This window comes from Homo sapiens, chromosome 20, assembly GCF_000001405.40.
Source record: "Homo sapiens chromosome 20, GRCh38.p14 Primary Assembly".
Taxonomy (NCBI): Eukaryota; Metazoa; Chordata; class Mammalia; order Primates; family Hominidae; genus Homo; species Homo sapiens.
Genome location: NC_000020.11, coordinates 38,119,583 through 38,137,550, shown reverse-complemented (window position 1 = coordinate 38,137,550; position 17,968 = coordinate 38,119,583). Strand labels below are relative to the sequence as shown.

The 17,968-nt window shown below is 50.1% G+C and overlaps 1 protein-coding gene across 6 annotated transcripts in view; it reads left to right on the top strand.

The window, feature by feature from the left end:
- The window catches only part of TGM2 (transglutaminase 2), a 41,091-nt gene extending 30,925 nt beyond the window's left edge, over window positions 1-10,166 (top strand). For all 6 annotated transcript variants that reach the window (XM_047440443.1, NM_001323316.2, XM_011529028.2 and 3 more), the window contains 3 exons: window positions 5,051-5,211; window positions 6,322-6,458; window positions 7,182-10,166. In XM_047440443.1, the coding sequence (XP_047296399.1) occupies window positions 5,051-5,211; window positions 6,322-6,458; window positions 7,182-7,332 (449 nt within the window). In that variant the 3' untranslated portion in view covers window positions 7,333-10,166. The remainder of the gene's footprint in view (window positions 1-5,050; window positions 5,212-6,321; window positions 6,459-7,181) is intronic.
- The last annotated feature ends 7,802 nt before the right edge of the window (window positions 10,167-17,968 follow it).

Sequence of the window (17,968 nt, the reverse complement as noted above, 5' to 3'; positions counted from 1 at the left end):
CCACCAGCTGCACGTGGCTGCTAAGCGCTTGAAATGTGGCTGGTGCAACCGTAGAACTAAAGTTTGTTTGTTTGTTTGCTTGTTTTTTTATTTTTTTTGAGATGGAGTCTTACTCTGTTGCCCAGTCTGCAGTGCAGTGGCACGATCTCAGCTCACTGCAATCTCAGCCTCCCAAGTAGCTGGGATTACAGGCGTGCACCACCATGCCCAGCTAATTTTTGTGTTTTTAGTAGAGATGGGATTTCACCATGTTGGCCAGGCTGGTCTCGGACTCCTGGCCTCAAGTGATCTACCTGCCTCGGCCTCCCAAAGTGCTGGGATTATAGGTGTGAGCCACCGCACCTGGCCAAAACTAAAGTTTTAATTGTGTTGAAAGTTAGACAGCCACATGTGGCCAGAAGCTGCTATGTTGGGCAGAGCAGATCGGCGAGCCAAAGGTGGGAGCGTCCAGGCCTCTGCAGGGAGAAGTGCTTTCTTCCTGGACTTGATTGTCCCTCTCCAGTGTCCCCAGCACCAGCCTAGTTGCCTTTTTAGGCAGATCCCCTTCGCAGTGACATGGTGTCATTAGACCACCCAACCCAGCCCCGAGCCAAGACTTTGTCACCAGGCTTCCTGCACAGTGGTTGTCCTCTGGGTCCCTTCCACTGTCTGGCTTTGTCACTGTGCCTGGTTATCTTCCTAAATATAAGCTTGAGGCCCTCAGAGGAGCCGTGGCCACTGAGGTCACATAGCGAGGCAGTGAGGGACCAGGAATCAAGCCCAGGGCTCCGCCCAGCAGCCCCACCACCACCCAGCAGCCCCATCCCACTTTCTGCCATTTGGAGCCCTGCAGGTGTGAGGAGGGCAGAGGGGTTTCCAGGCTAGGAGAGGACCTGGGAGCTGCAGAATGAGACATTGGCCATCCTCTGAGGGGCAGTGGAATCAAGTAGGACATCGTCTTTGGGCAGCATCTCGCTGTGTCACCAGAGCAAATGGCCACTCCCCTGCACCTTAGCGTCCCCATCAGGCTCCTGGGGGTCATGATCCAACAGTGCAGGACCATCGGGGGTAAGAGAGTGTGCACACAGTAGGCACTCATGCCTGGGATTCAGTGTGGCCACACCTGGAGATGCTGGAGAGCCCTCGGGTGGGGCATGGTTTGTGTTTACAGAGTTTGTTTCCCCGTCTGTTTTCCCCGGACTCCTGCCTGTCAAACCAGTGGTCGTCCCTCTCCTCTATGACAGTGCCTGGACCCTTGGTGCCCATGGGCTGGCGTCTGGGGCACAGCTTTCACCCTCCTAAGAAAGCAGGTCTGTGTTGCGGGCGGGGCGTCTGCAGTGTTGACAGTTGCTGCCTCCTGGTTTTTCTATCTTGGGCCCACCGTGGGCACTCCTGGAGCTGCACGCCCTGGGCACACCCACTGTCCGGCCCGGGGCAGACTCCTCAGCAGGGGCCAGGCCCTCAGAGGGCAGATCCTCTTGGTACCAGGACAGGGCCCAACACTGAAGCTGTTGAAAGACATTTCCCGAGGCCAGGAAGACCTGGCTTTGAATCTCAGCTCTGCTGCCCTCTGAATGCACCACCTTGGGCGCGGTGAACATGCTCTCTGAGTCTTAGGTCATGCTCGCCTGTTACATGGGGTGATGACATGCCTGCCTGATGCGCCCGCAGCCGTGAGGACTGAGGGAGAGGATGCGTGCTCAGGAGGTATCTGGAAAGGGCACAGCAGCACCAGCACACGGTGGGGCCCTCACTCCTCCCTGAGTGCGAGTGCTAAGAGGCGTGGGGAGGCGAGAAGCCCGGGACCTTTCCTGAACACCTTCTGTCCCAGGCAGTGGTGTCAGCCCTGGGCTCGGGGGTTCCTGTGTCCCTGACACCTCGGTGGTGTAGAAAGGACCCGGCCCTCGCTGCTCATCCAGGCCCCGAGAGTCCGAGACAGGATCCATCTCTACAGGCGTGTGGGGGTTCAGGACACAAGGACACCCAAGTTCTAGTTCCTGCTGCCTGCTGCCTGCTGCCTGGCTGTGGGCTCCTGGGTATTCCTCTCCTCCAGCAAGGCTATGGGTTCCCCATTCACACAAAGGGGAAGGTGCTTTCCTCTTTTAAGAGCCCTTCCAGCCCTGTTTTGTGTGTGTGTATGTGTGTGTGTGTGTGTGTGTGTGTGTGTATACATTTAGGAGGTCCAAGTGCGGTTTTGTTACACGGATATATTGAGCAGTGGTGAAGTCTTGGGCTTGACATTGGAGACCCAGTCCCATCGTTTCAGTGCACACCCACCAGCTCCTTCTCGTGCTCAGAGCTGCTCCAAGGGGAGAAAGTGTCTGTCCTAGAATGAGTGGCATGAGGTGAACTCCAGGCCTGGGCCAGACACACCAAAATCACTTCCTCCCAGGCCTCTGTGGAGTCAGCCCTCACCTCTAAGTCACCATCGGGACCCTGAGAGCATTGTTCCGCACTGGCATCAGCCAAGCATGCTGACTTTTCTCATCCTCCCAGGAACATGCTCACCACAGAGGGTGAGCAGCAGGTCCCTCCTGTTGGGGATCCACTGGAGACATAGCCTTCAGGGAGAGGAAGGGGAGGACAGAAGGTCCTGGGCATTGGCCTCTGGCTGGAAAGTGAGGCTGGTCCAAGTCCCCTGTTGGAACCTCCAATGCCAAGCTCAAGCTGAGATGCGTTCCCTCTAAGCCCCCATACTGTGGTTGAGTTACTTGTTATTCTTTGATGATAAGATCTGGGGAATTTCCGTGTGCTGGTGGACAGGAAGCCAGGCCCTGGATGGCTGAAAGGAATCCAGTTGCCCCCACCCCTGCCTCCTTTCTCTGCTGCTTCTTTCTCTTCTCCTTCCTGCCTCCACCCTTTCATGCTCTCTCCTCCCTCATCCCTCCAGGTGGGTCACAGGAATGCAGCCAATGTGGCCTCGGTGACTGTCCCCAGAGTAACCTTCTAGAACAGGGCAAATTGTCTAAAGAATGGTTGAGACTGACCATACAGGTTTCCTCTTCCCAGCCAGCATCTGGCCCAAGACCAAGGCCGTGGCCACTGGCTTGTGGACGGAGACTTTCAAAGGTCCAGCCCTGCCCTGGCCTCCACCTCCTAGAATAGTCGACAGTTGGGCCACATCCTCCAAGCCCCCGGAGGATAATGTTTTTCTTCTTTCCTGTGGAGCTAGCTAGAATTTCCACTCTGCACCACCAGGTCTTGACCTAGTAATTTTCACCCTCTTTTGTCCTTTTTGGCACAAAAGTTTGGTTTTCTTCCCCAGATCACATCATCTGATGAGAGGTTGGAGCAGATCCACCCAGGGAATGAAAGGCCAAAGAGGTGGGCAGGTCGGGGCAGCATTTTCCAAAGAGGAGGACGCAGACCACCAGTGTTCACGGTCAAAGGTTCAAGGTCAAAGCCTGAACCTTGAATCCCACAGTGAGAAAGTGACTGTCTCCTCGGGTCTCAATCCGTCCTTCTGGTGACCTCCTGGGGAAAGTCTCTGAGGGTGCTGATTTGCCTCTGGCCTCCTAAGCCTTGCCAATCTCCCTCTTTAGCAGTAGACTCAGGTCTGAAACTCAGAGTCCACAGCACATCACTGTATCTGGCCAGAATTGAATATGCATGACTTTGTTTGTATTTTCTCTCTTTTTTTCCCCCTTGAGACAGGGTCTCACTCTGTTGCCCAGGCTGGAGTGCAGTGGTGCAATCACGGCTCACTGCAGCCTCGACCTTCCAGGCCCAAGCGATCCTCCCACCTCAGCCTCCCAAGTAGCTGGAACTATAGGCTCACCCCACCACTCCCGGCTTGAATTTTTGTATTTTTTATAGAGACGGGGTCTCACTATGTTGCTCAGGCTGGTCTCAAACTCCTGGGCTCAAGCAATCCTCCTGCCTCAGCCTCCCAAAGTGCTGGGATTACAGGCGCGAGCCACTACACCCAACTACTTGTATTTATTTACTGCTCCTCCCTGCCTCCTACAAACAGACCCCAGGTCTGTTTTCTTAAATGCTAAACTACATGAATCCTTAAAATGCTAAACTGCTAAGGTCCTCCAGCCTCAGTGTTCTTTTCAGAAACATGGGGCTAAGAACCACACTTCAGTGGGTAGCTTTGTTCCTGCCATCTTCTTTCTCATCCCCATATCACTGTGCGGCTTTTGCTCTGCAACGACCCTTGGTCTTACCTCTGCCCAGCAGGTGATAAGATCTGGGAACAGAGAGGAAACAGAGGGGAAACAGAGAGGGGAGGTCATCTCCCCGGGCTCACACAGCCAGTGAGTGGCCAGACAGGGCCTGAGGCAAGTCTCCCAATCTGAGCACTTACTGGCAGAGGTGATTCTTCATCTGTGCAACGGGTACAGCATCACGAGCCTCGTGGAGGGAAATGACCTTATGTCCATGAGAGGCATTCTTCAGTGAGTGTGGACCATATTGTTGGACTCTAAGATCTGGATTATTAGTCCAGATGCCTGCACAGTACATATCAGCTGTGTGACCTAGGACAACGTTATTTCACCTGCTGGAGACTCAGTTTTCTCATCTGTAAGTTGGGTGGTAATACACGTACAAGCCTTTTAGGGTTGTCATGTAGGTGAAGTAGGAGCCCGCCGTGGGAAGTGCAGTGCCTGGTGCAGCAAGCAGATGTCGGCTCTGATCCTCCCCAGGATGAAGGGCCCGCGGCTCACACACCCTGAGTCCCGAGCGCACCAGGCTCTTCCGGGACACTCGCTCAGCTCATCCTCCCACAGCCTTAGGAGTGCCTGTGCCACGCAGATCCAAACATCGAGGACCTGGGAGGTGGAGTGGCTCACGCGGGGTCACCCATTAGAAGAGGCAAAGGCAGGATTAGAACCAAGGCCCGTGGGAGTCCAAGTGCGTCCTCTACCCGCTGCTCAGTGTCCACTCTCCAGCTCCTCGCTGGGAACCCTGGAGCCACAGTGGGGAGTTCAGGGATCCGCCCAGCCATTCCCCCGCTGTGTGACCCCAAGCACATTCCTTCCCCTCTCTGTGCCTCTTGGAGTTGCAAGAGAGTTGGGAGGGGTGATTCTGCATCATGAGCACCCTCCTTTCTCCCCTTCTGCAGAGAAGAGCGTTCCTCTTTGCATCCTCTATGAGAAATACCGTGACTGCCTTACGGAGTCCAACCTCATCAAGGTGCGGGCCCTCCTCGTGGAGCCAGTTATCAACAGCTACCTGCTGGCTGAGAGGGACCTCTACCTGGAGAATCCAGAAATCAAGATCCGGGTAAGGGCAGGCTGGGCAAGGGGCAGGGTCCCAGGGCAGCTCAGCGCTGGGGAGAGGGCAGATCCCTACCCCCACCCCACACACCTGCATCCCTGCAAGCTCCAGACCTTTGGTGCCTTAGCGATCCTCAAATCCTAGCCTCATCGAAGAAAAGCATCATGAAGCCTAGAGAATTGGGGACTCGTAGCCTCTAGGAATGAATCTGAAAATCCCAGAGTGTTAGGGTCATGGAATTTGGGGATCTTAGAGTCATGAATCCTTCAAATGCTATACTACTAAGGCTGGAACCCCCAGGCACTGGGCACTGGTGGGGCAGGGTGGGGTGGGGGAGTGAAGGGCACAGACTAGAGTCTCACTGCCTGAATTTGTACCAGGGCAGCCCTGGGCATGTGAGTTTGCCCCTCTGTGCCTCAGTTTATTCATCTGTAACATGGGGTTAATAATAGCACTGAGGGGTGTTGTAAGAATTAAAAGCATATCCACAGGAAACACATAGAGCCATCCTCAGCACATGATAAGGGCTCACTGAAAGCTAACTATCCTTATCATCGCCATCATCATCATTATAGCCCTTCACTTAGAGGAGCCGCAGCCCACAACCCCTAAGGGCAACAATTACACTTAAATGGTAAACAGCAGAGGGAGCGGCAGTGAGCAGTGTGTCAGACATTCTGCTGGAAGCTTGCACATATTAGCTCAGTTAATCCTCACAAGAACCCTCAGTCAGGCATTTCTCTCCCATGAAGAATCCAAGGTGTACAGAGTGGGGAGTAACTTCCCCAGGTCACACAGTGAAGAAGAGGCAGAGATCAGCCTGGCTCAAAAGCCTGTGATCTTTCCCCTCCAGACCCTGGGACAAGGGAGGCACTTTGGACATCCCCTGGGTCACGTGGAGCCTCATTGCAGCTCCATGCAGGAGACCTGGGCCGGTAGCACAATCGGTGTTTTCCCGATGAAGAAACTGAGGCACAGAGGTGGGGGGAGGGGGGGTGATCGTGGCAGACCTGGGTACAGCTTTGTTCAGCAAATATTGGGCCAAATTGCAGTGAATGCAGACAGCCCAGCCTGGATCCCACCTGCCCTTGACATCTGCCCCATGCCCTCTTCCAGATCCTTGGGGAGCCCAAGCAGAAACGCAAGCTGGTGGCTGAGGTGTCCCTGCAGAACCCGCTCCCTGTGGCCCTGGAAGGCTGCACCTTCACTGTGGAGGGGGCCGGCCTGACTGAGGAGCAGAAGACGGTGGAGATGTAAGTGCTGGCTGCTCTAGCTTTGGGGCCTGGGGGAAGCGGGCAGATGCCGGTGGGGGTAGAGACTGTCCTTAGGTACCAAGCCCTGGCTGAAAATCCCCTCCTCTCATCTCCCACACAGCTGTGCCCACTCCCAGACACCCTGGGGCTAGAGTTCCCACCGTCACATTCTCTGTCAATGCTGACACCACCCATGCACAGATCTGCCACAGACCTCCACAGTGACATCATCCGTCAATAGGCGCTCACCTGCAGACACGTGCATCCTCACATAGACAGGTATCTGCCCTCCGAATGTCCACACATGAGCATGCACACACATATGCATGCGTGGGTGTTTCCACATAGATACGTAGCTGCACACATACATACGAGCACACACTTCTTTTTTACTTTTTTACTGTAATGTAACTTATATACAGTAAAAAGCACAGATCACCTATGTACAGCTCAATACATTTTCACACACACGGCTACCTGAGCCTATCCCCTTGTGCCCCTAAATGCACCATCTGCTTTTATGCACACGGACACACATGCGTGCACAGGCACTGTTCACTCTAGGAGGGCAGATTGTCCAGGCCCCGCAGAGGGCCGAGAATGAGGCCCATTCATGGACACGCTGTGCTGATCCTCGGAGGTCACGTGACTTCCTGGCTGGACCCCAGCATGCGGGAGCCAGGCCTTGGGCCCCTTTCCTCACCACCCCCTCTCTCCCTGCAGCCCAGACCCCGTGGAGGCAGGGGAGGAAGTTAAGGTGAGAATGGACCTGCTGCCGCTCCACATGGGCCTCCACAAGCTGGTGGTGAACTTCGAGAGCGACAAGCTGAAGGCTGTGAAGGGCTTCCGGAATGTCATCATTGGCCCCGCCTAAGGGACCCCTGCTCCCAGCCTGCTGAGAGCCCCCACCTTGATCCCAATCCTTATCCCAAGCTAGTGAGCAAAATATGCCCCTTCTTGGGCCCCAGACCCCAGGGCAGGGTGGGCAGCCTATGGGGGCTCTCGGAAATGGAATGTGCCCCTGGCCCATCTCAGCCTCCTGAGCCTGTGGGTCCCCACTCACCCCCTTTGCTGTGAGGAATGCTCTGTGCCAGAAACAGTGGGAGCCCTGACCTTGGCTGACTGGGGCTGGGGTGAGAGAGGAAAGACCTACATTCCCTCTCCTGCCCAGATGCCCTTTGGAAAGCCATTGACCACCCACCATATTGTTTGATCTACTTCATAGCTCCTTGGAGCAGGCAAAAAAGGGACAGCATGCCCCTTGGCTGGATCAGGGAATCCAGCTCCCTAGACTGCATCCCGTACCTCTTCCCATGACTGCACCCAGCTCCAGGGGCCCTTGGGACAGCCAGAGCTGGGTGGGGACAGTGATAGGCCCAAGGTCCCCTCCACATCCCAGCAGCCCAAGCTTAATAGCCCTCCCCCTCAACCTCACCATTGTGAAGCACCTACTATGTGCTGGGTGCCTCCCACACTTGCTGGGGCTCACGGGGCCTCCAACCCATTTAATCACCATGGGAAACTGTTGTGGGCGCTGCTTCCAGGATAAGGAGACTGAGGCTTAGAGAGAGGAGGCAGCCCCCTCCACACCAGTGGCCTCGTGGTTATTAGCAAGGCTGGGTAATGTGAAGGCCCAAGAGCAGAGTCTGGGCCTCTGACTCTGAGTCCACTGCTCCATTTATAACCCCAGCCTGACCTGAGACTGTCGGAGAGGCTGTCTGGGGCCTTTATCAAAAAAAGACTCAGCCAAGACAAGGAGGTAGAGAGGGGACTGGGGGACTGGGAGTCAGAGCCCTGGCTGGGTTCAGGTCCCACGTCTGGCCAGGCACTGCCTTCTCCTCTCTGGGCCTTTGTTTCCTTGTTGGTCAGAGGAGTGATTGAACCAGCTCATCTCCAAGGATCCTCTCCACTCCATGTTTGCAATGCTTTTATATGGCCCAGCCTTGTAAATAACCACAAGGTCCACTCCCTGCTCCACGAAGCCTTAAGCCATAGGCCCAGGATATTTCTGAGAGTGAAACCATGACTGTGACCACCTTCTGTCCCCAGCCCTGTCCTGGTTCCTTCCTATGCCCAGGTACCACCCTTCAGACCCCAGTTCTAGGGGAGAAGAGCCCTGGACACCCCTGCTCTACCCATGAGCCTGCCCGCTGCAATGCCTAGACTTCCCAACAGCCTTAGCTGCCAGTGCTGGTCACTAACCAACAAGGTTGGCACCCCAGCTACCCCTTCTTTGCAGGGCTAAGGCCCCCAAACATAGCCCCTGCCCCGGAGGAAGCTTGGGGAACCCATGAGTTGTCAGCTTTGACTTTATCTCCTGCTCTTTCTACATGACTGGGCCTCCCTTGGGCTGGAAGAATTGGGGATTCTCTATTGGAGGTGAGATCACAGCCTCCAGGGCCCCCCAAATCCCAGGGAAGGACTTGGAGAGAATCATGCTGTTGCATTTAGAACTTTCTGCTTTGCACAGGAAAGAGTCACACAATTAATCAACATGTATATTTTCTCTATACATAGAGCTCTATTTCTCTACGGTTTTATAAAAGCCTTGGGTTCCAACCAGGCAGTAGATGTGCTTCTGAACCGCAAGGAGCAAACACTGAAATAAAATAGTTTATTTTTCACACTCAAACTAGGTCTGGTCTGTTCCTTTATGAGTTTGGAGGGAGATGGGTAGGTGAGCTCGCTCACACCTGGACCCCCACTTCCTGCCTAGGAGTCTTTCCTGAGCCTCAGCCCTGTCCCTGCGTTTAAACTTTACTGGCATTCAAGGTCCTACACAGGCTGGCTCCATCTCCGGCCCCTTCCACCAACAGTCTGTTTTTGGGCCACAATTAACTTCCTGTATCCCCAGAACACCCTGCGTAGTTGTCTACCTCTTGGCTTTTGTGTATGTAGTTCCCTGAGCCTGGAGTGCCCCTCCTTTTCTTTCCCTGCTTGGCAAACTCCTACTCATCCTATAATGCTTAACACCAAAGTCACCTCTTCTGTGAAACCTTCCTTGATATCTTTTCGGGTCCCCAGAGTCCTGGAATATGGACCAATTCAAACATTTATCACAGTAAATTTTACTTCCACGTTGGCCTATCTGTCCCCTTCTCCATCCTATCTGAAGCCCTCGAGGCAGGGACCACGTATCTCTTAAATACACTAATAAATGCTGAATTGGTAAATGAATGTTTCCTAACTCAACTCCCACAAGACCTGTGCTGTCCCATAGAAATAATACATGAGCCACAAATGCAAGCCACATATGTAATTTAGAATTTTCTAGTGACCACATTGAAAACAGTAAAAAAGCCATAGGTGGAATTAGCTTTAATAATGTATTTTATTTAATCCAATATATCCAAAACATTATTTCAACATGTAATCAATATAAGAATTAGTAAGGTATTTGACCTTCTTATTTTTGTACTCAATCTTTGAAATGTGGTGTGTGTTTTATACTGACAGCAGGTCTCAATTTGAACTAGCTGCATTTCAAGTGCTCGGTAGCCAGTCTGGCTAGTACTGGATGAAGCAGGTCTAGACTGCGATTCCGTGGATGTGCAGACTTGGTCATTCATCTCATTCCCCACCATCGAAGCACTCATGAGTATCTGTTGAATGAATAGATGATGGGGACAGTCCCCACCCTTGGGAAGTCATGTAGAAAGACATGACATGCACATAAAAAATAAATCAAAATAAAAACATGACATCACGTGTTCTGGGTGCCGAATCCTTCTGTTCCTTGGACGCTACAACCTGGTGCTGGCTGGGTGGCTTGATAATTGTATCAGTGAGTCACCAGCTGGAAAACAGAAACCGCACTACTATTTCAGGCAGAGAGGGAGTTCATAGAGGAAGTTCATTCCAGAAGTATCCAAAGGGGCAGAGGAGCAGATGGGAGAAGGAGTGTGACCTAGAAATTGGGAAGCAGCTGCAAAGCCCACGAGCTGGCGCCCACAGCCCTAGAACCAACATAGCTGCTGGGAAATACAGAGCCTGCGGAAGCCACCTGAGGCTGCAGCCAGAGGCAGGCTGGCATCTCCCCTCCTCAGGCCTCTTTCCCACTGGCAGATCCCAACCTGAAACCGGCTGGGAAGCAGCTCTGGAAAATGTCATTTTCCAACTTCCAGCCCCCTGAAATACAGAGAGGGTAAGCAAGGGCAAGGATGGAGTAGTTGGGACCTATTGCCATTCCCTGTGCTAAAAACACTTTTACTATCCTCTCTACCTAATGAACTCTTACTCAACCTGCAAAACCCTGCCCCAAGGAGGCCTCCTTTGTGAAGCCTTCCTGGACTGCAGCCAACTGCCTTGACCTCCCCAGACCTTTACGATACTGGATACTCGGCAGCCTTAGTTAGGAATAGCAGTTTCTGTGCCTGTCCCTTCTTCCGGAGCACCCTGAGGGCAGGGTCAGGGCACAGCCCCAACAAGGGCTGCCAACTCTGGCTTCCAGGCCTGAACAGCCTCCCGGCTATACAGCAGGGGCAGGGCTGCTCCAGCCAGGGCTGCTGACACTGGGCAGGTGCACAGGCCTCCCTGATCAGCCCCCAAGCCTGCCCCACTCCGGGGAGCCCACTAGCCAGGAACCCAGGAAGGGGAAGGATACTGACTCTTTGGGGCACATATGTCCATTTTACAGACAGAGAAAATGAGCCTGAGGCCTTGCCCCTCAAACCCCATGTGAGGGCTGAGTCTGGGCCCCACAAGGACAGTGCTGGGCACTGCTCTTTGGCAGGTCAGGGCTGCCAATCCCCACCCAAGCTCTGCTCATAGCTTGGTGCCAGGGGCCTGGACTCCGGATCAGAGCTGGCTCTGCCACAGACTCACAGTGTGGCTTCAGGCAGGTTGTCACCCTCTCTGTGCCTCCACTTCCTTATCTGCCAAATGGGGATGACATGGTGTCTACTTCCATGACTAATGCGCAGGTTCAATAAAATAGTGCACATCAAGTACCTAGCTGTCTCTCGGCACATCATCCTCCTAACAGCCAACATTGACTGCAGGTCAGAAATCCTTTACATGCAATGAGTTATTTACTGCCTTCATTTTATAGATCAAAAAACTGAGGCATAGAGAGGTTAAGAAATTTGCCCAAAGTCACACAGCTGGTAAGTTTCAGAGCTGGGACTTGAACCCAGGCAGCTTCCCTCCCCGGGGCAGGGCCTAGCCTGGAGAAGGCCCAACCTCTACCGGCACCCTCCCGTCCTACCATGTTCCAGGGCTCTCAGGGCAGGAACCCCATATAAGCTCTCACAGCCCTCGTGGAGAGGGCTTCTGATTGGGTCCACCCTCCCACCCCTAAAGACTTTCTTCTGTCCAGCTGCCTTTGTTTACCTAGGATGCCCGCCAGCTCACCCATTGGCCTCAAGCCAAGCTCAGAACAACAGAATGTTGATGGAGTCGGAGAAGGAGGGGCAGAGGGTGGAAGGCCAAGCCAGGGCCTCCTAGAAGCACGTTTACTTGGGGCTGGCACTGGGTCAGAACATACACTCCCCCAGCCTCCCCACCTCCCTCCCCAACAGGCCTGGGCAGAGGCACAGAGACACGTCTGGGAGTCCGAGAAGCCCTGTGTTCCATTTCAAAGGGGAAAGGCCAAAGAGACCCATCAAAAGCAAAAGTGATGGAAAAATGATGGTGCATACAGCCTTGAGAACGCAGGCTCTACGATGACAACCCCACCATGAGGGTCATAGGCAGACACAAAGGACTACACGGTTCTACCCATGTGAAGTTCACCAACAGCCGTGATCATGCTTCCCCTGGTGGTAGAGAGGCCGAAGGCAGCCTGAGGGGCTGCAGGGGCCTGGGATGGTTGTGATTTTCTTCATCCGGGTGCTGGGTAAACAAGCACGTTCAACATGGGAAGATGTGTCAACCGCATATGCATGATCGCACTCTGTTTGTATGCATGATATACTTCAATGTGAATTTTAAAAAAAATACAATACTCAAGGGTTCTGAAAGTTCAAAGGGATGGAGAAAAAGGAATCAATGTTTTTGAGTCACACTCTGCGCCAGGCACTATGCGGGGCCTTCTCGGGGAGCACAGGGCGTTTTTCAGGGCAGGCTTGAGGTCAGGTGCCTCGGGCAACTCAGGTCCTGAGTCCCCTCCATACCCTTTTCTGGGAGATAGGGGTTCCAGTAGGGTACACCTCCTAGGGATATTGTGAGCCTTAAACAAGATGCTTTATATGTGAAAATAAGACTGTAAGTCCAGGTGCAGTGGTTCACACCTGTAATCTCAGCACTTTGGGAGGCTGAGGTGGGAGGATCACTTGAGTCCAGGAGTTTGACACCAGCCTCGGCAACATGGCGAAACCCCATCTCTACAAAAAATAAAAAAAAATTAGCCAGGCATGGTGACGCGTTCCTGTAGTCCCAGGTACTCGGGGGGCTGAAGCTGGAGGATCCCTTGAGCCTGGGAGGTGGAGGTTGTAGTGAGCCAAGATTGCACCACTGCACTCCAGCCTGGGAGACAAAATGAGACCCTGTCTCTCTCTCTCTACATATATATTTTATATATAGATATAATATGTATATTATATCTATAATAATATAATACATATATAATATGTATATTATATATAAGACATATATAATGTGTGTGTGTATTATATATAATATGTATATATGTGTATTATATATAATATGTATGTATAATATGTACATATAATATGAGTATTATATATAATATGTATATATAATATGTATATATATGAGTATTATATATAGTATAATATATATAATATGTATATTATATAATATACGTATATTATGTATTATATATAATATGTATATTATATAATATACGTATATTATGTATTATATATAATATGTATATTATGTATAATATATAATAAGTATTATATATAATGTGTATTATATATTATATATAATGTGTATTATATATAATATATAATGTGTATTATATATAATATATGTGTATTATATATAATATATAATGTGTATTATATATAATATATGTGTATTATATATAATATATAATGTGTATTATATATAATATATAATGTGTGTTATATATTATATATAATGTGTGTTATATATTATATATAATGTGTATTATATATAATAGGTATATTATATATATAATAGGTATATTATATATATAATAGGTATATTATATATATAATAGGTATATTATATATATATAATAGGTATATTATATATATAATAGGTATATGTATATTATATATAATAGGTATCTTATATATAATAGGTATATTATATATAATAGGTATCTTATATATAATAGGTATATTATATATAATAGGTTTATGTATATTATATATAATAGGTATATTATATATAATAGGTATATGTATATTATATATACATATTATATATATTATTATTATAAATATTATATATTATTATTATACATATTATATATTATTATTATATATTATTATATATATATATATATAGAGAGAGAGAGAGGTTTCTGAGGCCCAGAGAGGTTACAGGACAGGCCTGAGATCACAAAGCTAGAAAATGGAGCTAGGAGGCCTACTGGGCAAGCTCCATCCACAGTAATTGCTCTAACCTTCTGCTCTGTTGCCATTGGTCACAGGCTGTGGACTTAAAAATGGAGAATATCCTAGACAAGGAAGTCAGAGAAGGCCTTTCTTGGAAGCTACTATGGAAGCTGAGAGCCTGGGGAGGAAGAGTCAGTCCAAGAAAGGGTGAGGGGTAGGTGGGGCAGTTTGTGAGCTGGGGAGTTTTTGAGCTGGAGTGTTTGTGAGCAGGGGAGCTTTTGAGCCCAGAAGAGGAGGAGGGGTAGGTGGGGAAGTTTGTGAGCTGGGGCTGGGGTGTTAGGCAGGGGCCAGAGGTGAGCACCAGGCAGAGGCGACTTCCTGGGAAGCTGATGACATTTAAGCCTCAGGGAGACTCATCTGCAGGGGCCCCGTACCAGGAATCCCAGGAAGCCCGGCAGTGTTCACACAGGGCAGGGACCCAGGTCACTATCAGGAAGCATCTGAATGCACACATTTCTGGGAAACAGGCTCAGAAATGCTCAGAAACACTCAGAAGAAAGGAATCGAAACTTGAAAGTCTCCAGCAGTTTGTTGTGATTTCTTTTCACATTCTTTATAAATATTTACTTTTGTACTCAATTTATCATTTTCTTTTACTTTTATCTTTTTCGTGTACTCAATTTATCATTTTCTTTTATCTTCTTCTTCTTCTTTTTTTTTTTGAGATAGAGTCTTGCTCTGTCACCCAGGCTGGAGTGCAATGGCACAATCTTGGCTCACTGCAACCTCCGCCTCCCGGGTTCAAGCGATTCTCCTGCCTCAGACTTCTAAGTAGCTGGGATTACAGGCACATGCCACCACACCTGGCTACCTTTTGTACTTTCAGTGGAGACAAGGTTTCACCACATTGGCCAGGCTGGTCTTGAACTCTTGACCTCAGGTAATCCACCTGCCTTGGCCTCCCAAAGTGCTGGGATTACAGGCGTGAGCCACCATGCCTGGCTTCTTTTTCTTAAAGACGTTCCCTCAAACTTAAAACCATGATGTGGTATCACAGCCTCCTTATGAGAATGACTAAAAATGAAAAAGCAAAAAATAGATAAATAGATACACACATATATGTGTGTGTGTATCTACCTATTTGTGTGTGTGTGTGTGTGTGTATATATATATATATATATATATATATATATATATATATATATACTTACACACATCTATATAGCTCCTAATACAGGCCAGGGCCAGGTGCTGATTTAGGTCCTGAGGACAGGCTTGTCCCACAGAACATTCAGACAGACCACCAGTGTGAAGTGAGAGGTGCCAGGAGGGAAGGACTAGGGCTCAGAATAATGGGGATACATATATATATATACACACACACACCATATGTGTGTTTACATATCTACACACACAGTATATATGCACACATACACTGTGTGCATTGCATGGATGAACTAGGTCCTACCACACACACATACTGTGTATACCCACACACACACACACAAGGTGTCAGTGAAGATGTGGAATGGCAGGACTTTCCTCCACAGCTGGGAGGAGAGAGGAAGCTGGTGTGGCCACTCTGGAACACAATTTGCAGTCCTTGAATCTTCTACAGCGGAACATTCATCTCTCCCTGTGAGCCAGCAACTCCCCTCATGGATGACTCAACAGAAATGAGCCCGTATGTCCCCCAAAAGACACATGCAAGAATATTCATAGCAGCTTTTCCCCCAGACATCCCAAAGCTGAAAACAACCCCAAAATGCAACGCTTGCTGAGTGGACATAGAAGCTGTGGTATTGTCATTCCAAGGGCCGCTATAGGAATGAGAGGAAACAAAGTACAGCTGCATGCAGCAAACATGGTTGAATCTTGCTAACATGTTAAGTAAAAGATGCCAGACTCTTGCCAGGCGCGGCGCTCACGCCTGTAATCCCAGCACTTTGGGGAGGCCAAGGCAGGCGGATCAGTTGAGGTCAGGAGTTTGAGACCAGCCTAGCCAACATGGTGAAACCCCATCTCTACTAAAAAACAAAAATTAGCTGGGTGTGGTGGTGCACAACTGTAATCCCAGCTACTCAGGAGGCTGAGTAAGGAGAATCGCTTGAACCCGGGAGGCGGAGCTTACAGTGAGCCAAGATCGCGCGACTGCACTCCAGCCTGGGTGACAGAGTGAGACTCCATCTCAAACCAAAAAAAAAGATGCTAGACACCCGGGCACGCACTGGATGATTTCAAACATATAAAGTTCAAAACCAGGCAAAACTCATCTATGACGTCAGAAGTCAGGAGAGTGGTTATGTTTAAGGGGTGGATAACAAGAAAGGGGTACCGAGAGGCTTCTGGGATGCTGGGAATAATGGTCCGATTCTTTTTTTTTTTTTTTTTTTTTTTTTTTGAGACAGAATCTCCCTTTGTTGCCCATGCTGGAGTGCAGTGGGGCAATCTTGGCTCACTGCAACCTCCGCTTCCCGGGTTCAAGTGATCCTCCTGCCTCGGCCTTATGAGTAGCTGGGACTACAGGTGTGTACCACCATGCTTGGCTAACTTTTGTATTTTCATTAGAGACAGGGTTTCACCATGTTGGCCTGGCTAGTCTCAAACTCCTGACCTCAGGTGATCCACCTGCCTTGGCCTCCCAAAGTGCTGGGGCGTGAGCCACCATGCCTGGCCTGATTCTTGACTTGAATGTCAGTTTACATGAGCGTGTTGAGTTTGGGAAAATTCATCAAGCTGTAGACATGATTTGTGCCTTCTCTCTATACATGTTCTACTTTAATGAAACTCTCTCCTCCGATGGTATAAGTTTTAGGCCTCTTAAAACCTGACCTGGTGATGGGGGCAGGGAGCGAGACCTCAAGAACAAGAAAGGAATAGGGGAGGTGTGGGTGGGATTGTTTGGGTGAAGACAGGAAGACTGGAATCACATAGGGGCAACCAATGGGGGTGGGGGGCCAGGGGCTAGAGGGAGGTTTGGTTTCTGATTGTTCTGCACTGAGAGTCAATCAACTTTTGCCCAGCCAGGCCTAAAGCCAAGATTTGTACACCAGCCCTGCCCAAGCTGAGCGCCCTGGCACCACCAGACCCCACTCCCCTGGAAGACAACTCTCTTTTGGCCAACTCCCGCTTCATTCCTTCCCAGGCCTGGCCAACCCTGCTTGTGGAAACTCTGAGGGGCCGCCCCACACCCAGTTCGTGGCAGGCACCCAAACACTCATCACCGCACTGACAATTTTCCCTCTTCAATCATGAGTCTGATTTTTCTCTTTCCTCTTCCCTGTTTCATGAACCCAAGCTTTTGTGAGGCCCTCTTGGAGGCAGACTTCAAGCCTGATGATGTCGCATCTTGTTTCATTGGGGGCCCTGGTGGCCCTGGTGAAGTGGATGGTGCTAACCTATTTTACAGATGAGAAGAGTGAGGGCCAACAAGGTAAAGTGACTTAGGGCCAAGATCACCACCCGACAAGGGACAGAGCTGGATTTTAACAATAACTACAGGCCGGGCGCAGTGGCTCACGCCTGTAATCCTAACACTTAGGGAGGCCGAGGCAGGTGAATCACAAGGTCAGGAGCCGGAGACCAGCCTGGCCAGCATGGTGAAACCCTGTCTCTACTAAAAATACAAAAAATTAGCTGGGCATGGTGGCACACAGCTGTAGTCCCAGCTACTCGGGAGGCTGAGGCAGGAGAATTGCTTGAACCCGGCATACGGAGGTTGCAGTGAGCCAAGATCGCACCACTAAACTCCAGCGGGCGACAGAGCGAGACTCCATCTCAAAAACAAAAACAAGCACAAAAACAAAAAAACAATAACTACAGTAACAACTTCACCCCCACGTGTCAGCACTAAGCAGTGGCTGGCTCTGTGCTAAGCACTATGAGTATGTTTGCCCATCCAGTCCTCACGATGAGCCAGTAAAGGAAGCTGCAATTATTATCAGTCCTGTTTTTTACAACTGGGTTTTGAAGTCTTACAGGCACAGAAAAGTACAAATTATAACAGCCTGATGAGTT